General features: G+C 39.9%; 1 annotated feature.

The window, feature by feature from the left end:
* Nucleotides 231-744: an enhancer, noted in NCBI's record as "NANOG hESC enhancer chr10:44039642-44040155 (GRCh37/hg19 assembly coordinates)". NCBI's record gives its function as "activates a minimal SCP1, AML or CMV promoter by ChIP-STARR-seq in naive H9 embryonic stem cells {active_cell/tissue: H9 hESC(naive)}" and the evidence as "EXISTENCE:reporter gene assay evidence [ECO:0000049][PMID:30033119]".

Below are 11,421 nucleotides of genomic sequence, written 5' to 3' on the forward strand. Positions count from 1 at the left end.
CACCCATAGTCTGGGAGGTGAGGAGCGCCTCTGCCTGGCTGCCCTGTCTGGGGAGTGAGGAGCGCCTCTGCCCGGCTGCCCCGTCTGGGGAGTGAGAAGCGCCTCTGCCTGGCTGCTGTGCAATCTTCCAAGTGTGAAGTGACAGCCTTTCTGCAGGTGTACCCAACAGCTCCAAAGAGACAGCGACCATCAAGAACGGGCCATGATGACGATGGCGGTTTTGTCGAAAAGAAAAGGGGGAAATGTGGGGAAAAGAAAGAGAGATCAGATTGTTACTGTGTCTGTGTAGAAAGAAGTAGACATAGGAGACTCCATTTTGTTCTGTACTAAGAGAAATTCTTCTGCCTTGGGATGCTGTTAATCTATTACCTTACCCCCAACCCCGTGCTCTCTGAAACATGTGCTGTGTCCACTCAGGGTTAAATGGATTAAGGGCGGTGCAAGATGTGCTTTGTTAAACAGATGCTTGAAGGCAGCATGCTCGTTAAGAGTCATCACCACTCCCTAATCTCAAGTACCCAGGGACACAAACACTGCAGAAGGCCGCAGGGTCCTCTGCCTAGGAAAACCAGAGACCTTTGTTCACGTGTTTATCTGCTGACCTTCTCTCCACTATTATCCTATGACCCTGCCACATCCCCCTCTCTGAGAAACACCCAAGAATGATCAATAAATACTAAAAAAACAAACAAACAAACAAAAAAAAAGAGGCAGCAGGGCACTGTGGCTCACTGTAATCCCAGAACTTTGGGAGGCTGATGTGGGTGGATTGTCTGAGGTCAGGAGTTCAAGACCAGCCTGGCCAACATGGTGAAACCCCGTCTCTACTAAAAATACAAAAATAAACTGGGCGTGGAGGCAGGCGCCTGTAATCCCAGCTACTCGGGAGGCTGAGGCAGGAGAATCGCTTCAACCCAGGAGGTGGAGGTTGTAGTGAGATGAGATCACGCCACTTCACTCCAGCCTGGGCGAAAGAGCAAAACTTTGTCTCAAAAAATAGAATAAAATAAAACAATAAAATAAAATAAAATAAAATAGGCGTCACTGTTTTGCTGCAGAAAATCCTCTTTCAAAGCAAATTCACTGGTATTGGTATAATTCTGATAAGTGTGTTTACATTTCTAAATGTTTTCAAACATTCTGGTATCCAAATGCTGTGTCAAAAGATGCTAAAATGTCTTGTGCCACCCACCTTCTTACTACAATCTTACATACTTTCATTGTGCCCCATAATGATCTTCATGGATGCTATATCCATTTATAATTCCATGGGTGAGGCCAGGCACAGTGGCACTGTAATCCCAGTGCTTTGGGAGGCTGAGGCAGGAGGATCACTGGAGTCTAGGAGTTTCAGTTTGCAGTGAGATATGATCACGCCACTGCACTGCAGCCTGGGTGACAGATCCAGACCTTTTCTCAAAAAAAAAAAATCCATAGTTGCATTGTTCATTATTTAATCAATCTCTATTTTATTGTGAAGACAGGAGTGGTCACCATAGTTTCCACAGCACAAAGGACACGTTTTCCTACATGCCAAGTACTCTTTAAGTGTTGAGGTGAATCTGTGAAGTAGTTTAATGATTGCTGTCCCTTATTTTTATAAACATTTGCATAAACAGAGCTTCTAAAAATTGCAAGTAACTGAGGTTTGCTTTTGGAGTACAAAGAGTCATCAATGCTTGGGTGTTTGCAAAAATATTACCTAGGCAGGACATCCAGGTTCCATCTCATAGGGTAGACACTAATGGAAAGAGGGACTTGTAAATCACTTAATGAGATGGGATTTAATTAGAGTCACCAGTTGTTACATCTAGCAATCCCACCCACCCTCCCTTCCAAATCTAGCTATTTTTTCCTTTGAGAATTATCACTGCAGAACTTGTTCATCAACTAGTATATATCTGGTTCTTTCATATTTCCCATTTTCCTTTCATGAGAAGATTCAATGAAGATGTGAAAGTGTGTCTGAAGTGGGTTCCCTTGAAGTTTGTTTTTAATTTTAATTAATTAATTAATTTTTTTTTTGATACAAGGTCTTGCTCTGTTGTCCTTGAACTCCTGGCTTCAAGTGATTACTGCTTTGGCCTCCCAAAGTGGTGGGATTACAAGGATGAACCATCATGCTCAGCCTAGAAGTTCTGTTTTTATTTATTCTGCAAAATTGTTGTGTACCTTCTCCAGTCTAGAAACTTCATTAGCCTCAAGGGAAACAACTGAACATGAATTTCAATTCCTGCTGCAAAGACTTTTGTATTCACTACCAGGTCCCTTGTGGATTTTTATTAGGGACAGTCCCTAAGTGATAATTTTGCCATAAGAAGTGAGGCCCTGGCTGGGCGTGGTGGCTCACACCTGTAATCCCAGCACTTTAGGAGGCCAAGGTGGGCAGATCACGAGGTCAGGAGATCGAGACCATCCTGGCTAACATGGTGAAACTCCGTTTCTACTAAAAAATACAAAAAATTAGCTGGGCATGGTGGCGGGTGCCTGTAGTCCCAGCTACTCGGGAGGCTGAGGCAGGAGAATGGTGTGAACCCAGGAGGCAGAGCTTGCAGGGAGCAGAGATCACACCACTGCACTCCAGCCTGGGCGACAGAGCGAGACTCCTTCCCCCCGCCCCCCCAAAAAAAGTGAGGTCCTCCAAATAATTGGCTTATTATTGGAGTTAGGGCTTTGGAAGGAAGGATACAGATACTGAAATCTTGAAAACTTAGGCAAACACCACTGAAATGGTAGGAAAATTTGAAAATTGAATATTGGTTTCTTTTTGCTGCATTCAGCAAAGTTCTGATAATAGATTTAAACTAATACTACATCTAGGCATATTGGATGCAGAGGTGGAAGGAAATCATGCATTTCTTTTTTTTTTTGTGAGTCAGGGTCTTACTCTGTTGCCCGTGCTGGAGTGCAGTGGTGCAATCATAGCTCACTGTAGCCTCAACCTGCCAGGCCTGAGCGATCCTCCCACCTCAGCCTTCTGAGTAGCTGAGACTACAGGTGAGCACCACCACGCCTGGCTAATTTATTTTTATTTTTGTAGAGATAGGGTTTCACTTTGCTGCCCACTTTGAAGTTCCAGGCTCTGGTGATCCTCCTGCCTCAGCCTCCAAAAGTGCTGGAATTACAGGCATGAGCCACTGAGCCTGGCCCCAAAGGGCTTTTTTTTTTTTTTCCTCTTGAGACAGAGTCTCACTCTGTTATCCAGTTTGGAGTGCAGTGGCACAATCTTGGCTGACTGCAACCTCTGCCTCCCAGGCTCAAGCGATTCTCTTGCCTCAGCCTCCTGAGGAGCTGGGATTACACCTGGCTAATGTTTAAAATATTTTTGGCCAGGCGCAGTGGCTCACATCTGTGATCCCAGCACTTTGGGAGGCCAAGACAGGTGGATCACGAGGTCAGGAGATCAAGACCAGCTTGGCCAACATGGTGAAACCCCATGTCTACTAAAAAAAAAAATTATCTGGTTGTGGTGGCACGTGCCTGTAATCCCAGCTACTTGGGAGGCTGAGGCAGGAGAATCGCTTGAACTCAGGAGGTGGAGGCTGCAGTGAGCTGAGATCACATCACTTCACGCCAGCTTGGCGACAGAGCAAGACTCTGTCTCACAAAAAAAAAAAAAAAAAAAATTTTTTTTTAAGTAGAGATGGGGTTTTGTCATGTTGGCTAGGCTGGTCTCAAACTCCTTGCCTCAAGTGATCCATCTGCCTCAGCTTCCCAAAGTACTGGGATTACAGGTGTGAGCCACCACGCCTGGCTCCAAAGGGCTTTTAAGAAGAAACTTTCCTATGCATTTATTTACTAGACAAATCCATTGAGCTTGTGGCACAGACGGGTTGAAGTGTGTTACCTCTTCAGCAGAACTGGTCCTTTTTTTCAGTTGCATTTTTATTTACTTAGAAGTTAAAGTCATAGAGTATGAATAAAAATCTCCTGCCTAAAAAATGTTTGATTAAAAATGTCCAGTTTATTATACATATTTAAATATTATGAATGTGGCTGTTAGACTGATTTTTTTTTCTCTGCAAGTTTTTATACAGGCTAAATGGATTTAAAAAGTGTCATGCAAGTACTAGGTATTAAAATTAGCTTTATTGAATTAAAATTTATGAACAATAATATCTGCCAATGTCATTAAATGGACAATTTAAGGAATTTTTGACAAATATATACATCTGTGTTACCACCACCGCAAACATATATTGCAGCGGTTGGCAAACGTTTTCTGTAAAGGGCCACATAGTAAATGCTTTAAGTTTTGCATGACGTCCGGTCTCTGTCACAACTACTCAACTCTGCAACTGTAGTGCAAAATACATATATGAACAAATCCTTATTCCAATAAAACTTACAAAACCAGGTGGCAGGCTGAATTGGGCCTGTGCACTGTAGTTTGTTGACATGATATAGAATCTTTCCATCACTGCAAAAATGTCCTTATGCCACTTTGTAATTATTTCTTTTTCACATCCCCACCCACTGGCAACAACTGGTCTGCTGCTTATCACTAGTTTTGTCTTTTCTACAGTTTCATAAAAGTAGAATTGTAATCATGCAGTGTGTATTCTTTTTTGCCTGGCTTTTTTACTTAGCATAACAGTTACAAGATTCATCTGTGTGTTCTATTTATGCACGTTACAAGATTCATCTGTGTGTTCTATTTATGCGTGTTACAAGATTCATCTGTGTGTTCTATTTATGCACGTTACAAGATTCATCTGTGTGTTCTATTGGTGCATGTTCTATTGGTGCATGTTCTGCAATATTTTAAACTCTACAATGTAGGACATTTAGGTTATCTCCAGTTTTGGGCTACTATGAGGAAAGGTGTAATGAACATTTATGTATAGGTTTTCTGTGAACATAAGTTTAATTTCTCTGGGAAAAAGGCACAAGGGTACAACTGCTGGGTCATATAGTGTTTGTTTACATTTTAAAGAAACTGCCAAACTAATTTCGGGAGTGGGATGCCATTCTACATTCCTACCATTAATTTCTCAAGATGCACTTTTTTCTTTTCTTTTCTTTTCTTTTTTTTTTTTTTGAGACAGAGTCTTACTCTGTCACCCAGGCTGGAGTGCAGTGGCACGATCTCGGCTGACTGTGGCCTCTGCCTTCTGGGTTCAAGTGATTCTCCTGCCTCAGCCTCCCGAGTAGCTGGGACTACAGGCATGCCCCACCACACCCGGCTAATTTTTGTATTTTTAGTAGAGACAGGGTTTCACTATGTTGGCCAGGCTGGTCTCAAACTCCTGATCTCAGGTAATCTGCCTGCCTTGGCCTCCCAAAGTGCTAGGATTACAGGGGTGAGCCACCACACCTGGCTGAGATCCACTTTTTCATATCCTTGCCTGCATTTGTTATATTTACTATTTTATCTCTTCTAATATGTGTGTAGTGATAACTCATTCTGGTTTGAATTTATATTTCTCTAATGGCTGTTTGACGTCTTCTTATGTGCTTATCTGCCATTTGTATCTTCACTTTAGTGAAATGTGTCTTTGTATCTTTTGTTCATTCTCTAACTGGATTGTTTGTTTTCTTACTGTTGAATTTTGAAAGTTCTTACTTGATACAATCCTTTGTCAGATATGGTTTATAAACATTTTCTTCCAGTATGTAGCTTGAGACAGAGTCTGGCTCTGTCACCCAGGCTGGAGTACAGTGGCACGATCTCGGCTCACTGCAACCTCTGCCTCCCTGCAACCTGCACCTCCCAAGTTCAAGCTAGTCTCCTGCCTCAGCCACCCAAGTAGCTGGGATTACAGGCACCTGCCACCATGTCCAGCTAATTTTTTTTTTTTTTTTTAAGTAGAGGCGGAGTTTCACCATGTTGGCCAGGCTGGTCTCGAACTCCTGACCTCAGGTGATCCGCCTACCTCGGCCTTCTTTTCATCTTCTTAAAGGGTCTTTTACAGTGCAAACGTTTTAAATTTTGATAAAATTCTATTTTTTCCATTTATTGTTTTATGCATTATGATTTTAATATGTCAAGAACTCTTTGCCTAGCTTATGTACTAAAGATTTTCTCCAGTGTTTTCTTCGGCAAGTGGTATAGTTTTAAATTTAAAACCAGGATCCATTTTGAATTAATTTTTGTATTAGGTGTGAGGTTTAGGTTGAAGTTTTTTTTTTTCTGACTTATGGCTATCTATTTGCTCCAGCACTGTTTAAAATATTGTCCTTTCTCCATTGAATTGCTTTTGCGCTTTTATCAAAAACTAGTTTTCTTTACTTGTGTGGGTCTATTTCTGGATTCTCTCTTCTGTTCCATTAAACTGTTTTATCTCTGCCAATTCCAAACTGTTTGATTGTTTTTTAACTATAAGGAAGTCTTAAAGTCAGGTAGAATGATTTCTTTCATTGTATTCTTTTTCAAAAACATTTTCAGTGGTTGCAGTTCCTTTGCCCTGCCATATAAATTTCAGAGTAAGCCTGCATACATCAACAAAAAAATCTTGCTGAGATTTTGATAGGAATTATGTTAAAACTACAGATCAGTTTGAAGAGAATTGACATCTCAAATATCAATGAATATGTATGTCTCGACTTATTTAGATCTTCTTCGATTTCTTTTATTAGTGTTTTGTAATTTTCAGCATACAAGTCCTATACATGTTTTATTAGATTTATACCTAAGTAATTTTTTTATTGTTGAGTGATTGTAAATGGTATTCAGCCTTTAACCTCAGTTTTCACATAATCATTGCTAGCACACAGAAATGCAGTTGATATTGGTATGCTGATCTTGTATTCTGTGATCCTGATGAACTCATTTATTCTCGTCGTGTGTGTATGCATGTATCCCTTTGAATTTTCTGTGTAGATAATTGTGTCATTTGCAAACAGTGACAGTTTTTAAAAATCTATATGTCTTTTTCCTTTTTATTGCCTTATTGCACTGACTAGGACTTCGTGTACTATGCTGAATAAGAGCTGTGGGAGTGGAATCCCTGCCTTGTTCCCAATCTTATGAAGAAAGCACTGCTTTTTTTTTTTTTTTTTTACCATTAAGTATGATAGTAACTGTACATATTTTTAGGTGCTCTGTGTAAAGCTGAGGAGGTTTCTCTCTTTTCCTAGCTTGGTGAGGTTACTATGAATGGGTGTTGAATTTTGTCACATTTTTTCCTACATTATTTGATATGTGCTTTTGCTTCATTGGCCTATTAATATGGTGGATTAATATATTGAACTATTCTTGCCTTCGTGGAATAAGCCTCACTTAGTTGTAGTGCATGATTCTGTTGATATATTTTTGGGTTCAATTTGCTAATTTTTTTTTTTTTGAGATGGAGTTTTGCTCTTGTTGCCCAGGCTGGAGTGCAATGTTGCGATCTCGGCTCACTGCAACCTCCACGTCCCACGTTCAAGCGATTCTCCTGCCTCAGCCTCCCGAGTAGCTGAAATTACAGGCATGTGCCACCATGCCTGGTTAATTCTGTATTTTTAAAAGAGATGGGGTTTCTCCATGTTGGCCAGGCTGGTCTCGAGCTCCTGACCTCAGGTGATCCACCCACCTCGGCCTCCCAAAGTGCTGGGATTACAGGCATGAGCCACCATGCCCAGCCTCAATTTGCTAATGTTTTTTGAGGACTTTGTGTATGCAGGATATGAAGGGTATTGATCTGTATCCTGTATCCTTCAATATTAAGGATATTGGGCTGGGTATGGTATGTAATGTAATGTAATGAAAACTGTAATCCCAGTTTTCTTAGTACTACTGTCTGACAACTTTGGTATTAGGAAAATATTGGCATCATAAAATGAATTTGTACTTCTCTGATGATTAATGATATTGACCATCCTTTCAGGTGCTTACTGACCATTTGCATATGTTCCTTCATAAAATGCCCATTCTTTTGTCTAGTTTTTTTTCTTTTTCTTTTTCTTTTTTTTTTTTTAGGCAGAATTTTGCTCTTGTTGTCCAGGCTGGAGGGCAGTGGTGCGATCTTGGCTCACTGCAACCTCTGCCTCCTGGGTTCAAGTGATTCTCCTGCCTCAGCCTCCTGAGTAGCTGAGATTGCAGACGACCGCCACCACACCCAGCTTTTTTTTTTTTTTTTTTTTTTTTTTTTTTTTTTTTTTTTTTTTGTATTTTTAGTAGAGACGGGGTTTCACCATGTTGATCAGGCTGGTCTCAAACTCTTGACCTCAGGTGATCCGCCCACCTCAGCCTCCCACAGTACTGGGATTACAGGCGTGAGATACCGTGCCTGGCCTTTTGTCCAGTTTTGAATGTTTTTCTGAATTACTGGGTTGTAAGAGTCTTTAATATATTCTGTATATAAGTCCTTCTTCATCACATATTTGTCCTATAAATATTTCCCCCCACTCCATAACTTTCGTTTCTTGATATGAAGTTTCAAACAACATAAGTTTTAAAACTGATGAAACCCAACTTAATTTTTTCTTCTAAGATTTACGTTTTTCATGTCCTCTTTAATGAAGATTTTCTTCTAGGCACTTTATGGTTTTCATGCTTATATTACTCATTTTTCCCCTATACAAAGATTCAATTGTTACAGAACTGTGTTGAAAACTCTATCTTTTCCCTTTATCTTTGCATCTTTGTTGAAAACCACTTGAAAATATATGGGTGAGTCCAATTCTGTTTACCTGTATGTGTAGCCTAGATCCAGTACCATACTATCTTGATCACTATATCTTTAGTTTTGAAAAAAGTCTGTAATCCCAGCACTTTGGGAGGCTGAGGCAGGTGGATCACCTGAGGTCAGGAGTTCAAGATCAGCCTGGTCAACATGGTGAAACCTCGTCTCTACTAAAAATACAAAAAAAAAATTAGCTGGATGTGGTGGCACACGCCCGTAATCCCAGCTACTTGGGAGGCTGAGGGAGGAGAATCACTTGAACCCGGGAGGCAGAGGTTGCAGTGAGCCGAGATCGTGCCACTGCACTCCAGCCTGGGTGACAGAGGGAGACTCCATCTCAAAGAAGAAGAAGAAAAAAATCTTAAAAAATTGTTTTGACTTTGTAGGTCCTTGAGGTTTATAACTCATGCATACAGTGTATCTATTTATTTTTAGGACTTATTTACTTTTTTCTAGCATTAGTACATGTTTTGTAGCTTTAGTACAGGTCTAGTAACTTTGTCCCTACATTTCATAATTTTGATGCCGTTTTCATACTTTCAACTTTTTAAAAATATTGAGCTTGTATCCTGTGACCTTGCTAAACATACTTACTAGTTTTAAAAACATTTTCAGACACTTTATGCTTTTCCATATAGACAATCATGTCACAGCAGTCTCATGCCTTCTTTCACATTCTGTATCCCTTTTCTTTGAGACAGGGTCTCACTCTGTCGCCCAGGCTGGAGTGCAGTGGTGCGATCACAGCTCCCTGCAGCCTTGATCTCCTGGGCCTCCAGTGATCCTCCTGTTCAGCCTCCTGAGTAGGTGGCACTACAGGCACATGCCACTATGCCTGGCTAATTTTTATTTAAGTTTTGGTAGAAATGAGGTCTCACTATATTGTCCAGGTTAGTCTTGAACTCCTAAGCTCAAGCAATCTTCCCACCTTGGCCTCCCAAAAATGCCAGGATTTTAGGCATGAGCTACCACACCCAGCCTCTTTTTTATTGGCTTATTGTACTGGCTAGGACATCCACTACAAGGTTGACTGGAAGTGGTGACTAGACATCTTTCTCTTGTTTCCAATCTTAGGAGAAAAGTGCTTTTTACTTCACCAGTAAGTACGATGTCAGATGTAGGTTCTCCCATAGATGCTCTTTCTTAGATTCTTGAAACTCAATTTAATTCCTAATCAACTGAGCGGTTTTATCATGAATGGGTGTTAAATTTTTTCAAATGTTTTCCTACATTAAAAAAATTGTGGTTTTTCTTTTTAATATTAATATGAAACATTGCTTTTTGAATGTTAAAGCTTGCATTTCTAGGATAAACCCTACTTGGCCATATGTGTTTCCTTTTATAGATTGCTGTGTTCAACTTGGTATTTTAAAAAGGATTTTTACATCTATATTAAGAGATATTGATCTATGAGTTTTTCCTATGATGTCCTTTTTGGCTTTGGTATCTGGGCAATGTTGGTCTCATGACTTTTCTTTGGGGGAAGGTTATCAGCTAAAAATTCAATTTAATAGGACTATTCAAGTTCTCTCAAGTGGGCTTTGGTTCTATAGTCCTTAGGATAAAATTTTCCAATTCATTTAAGTTGCTGAATTTATTGGAATTAAGTTACTAATAAAATTCCTGTATTACCTTCTTGGTGTATAGGACCTATAGTGATATTTACTCTTTCATTCCTGATACAGGAATCCTTTCAACCCTTTCAAAGAGTTAGGTTTTGGTTCCATTAAATTTTCTCTATTGTTTGTCCACTTGTGATTTTTGTGACTTTTAGCTCTGTATCATCTCCTGTTCTACTTGCTTTGGATGATTTCTGTTCTTTTTCTCATTTCGTAAGGTGGAAGTTTAGACTATCGAATTGAAATCTTTATCTCTGATTTCACCTCTAAGCACTGCTTTAGCTACATTTCACAAATTCTGACATATTCATTCAGTTCAAAATATTTTCAAATTTTTCTTACTTTCTCTTTATTGCTCATTTAGGAGTATGTTGTTTAATTTCCAAATACTAAGAGATTGTTCAGACATCTTTGTTATTGGTCTCTTACTTAATTCTGTCCTGGTGAGAGAATATACCTTGTATGGTTTTCATTCTTTAAAAAATTTTAAGACTGTTTTATTACAGTCCATAGTAGGCACACTTGAAAAGAATGTATACAGGTTGGGCACAGTGGCTCACATATGTAATCCCAGTGCTTTGGGAGGTCCTGGAGGGAGGATTGCTTGAGCCTGTGAGTTCGAGACCAGCCTAGGCAACAGAGCTAGACTCCATCCCTACAAAAATAAAAAATAGCTGGGTGTGGTGGCACATGCCTATAGTCCTAGCTACTCTGGAGGCTGAGACAGGAGGATTGATTGAACCCAGGAATTCAAGGTTGCAATTAACTCATTGCACCACTGCACTTCAGCCTGGGTGAAAGAGTGACACACTGTCCCTAAAAAATAAAAATATATTAATATATCATGCTAATGAGTGTTCTACAAATGCCAATTAGTCAAGTTAGTTGATAGTGCTGTTCAAGGCTTATACCTCCTAAGTGACTTGTGCTATCAATTACTTATTTAACTATCTAATTATAATTGAAATTGTGCCTCTTTCAATTTTGCCAGTTTTTATTTCATGAATTTTGAAGCTCTGTTTATGTGTACTTAAGCTAGAAAGTAGCTTTGCTGTAGGATTCCCGAATTCCCATAATACAGAGGTCTTTCCCTTGGGGCCATTCAACTTCTGCAGAGAAGAAACTTCCCATTTCTTGCTGGACGTTAAACCTCTGGTCAGCCACGTACAGGAGTTGGGGAGCAGTGTGTGTTT

This window comes from Homo sapiens, chromosome 10 (genome assembly GCF_000001405.40).
Source record: "Homo sapiens chromosome 10, GRCh38.p14 Primary Assembly".
NCBI classification, from domain to species: Eukaryota; Metazoa; Chordata; class Mammalia; order Primates; family Hominidae; genus Homo; species Homo sapiens.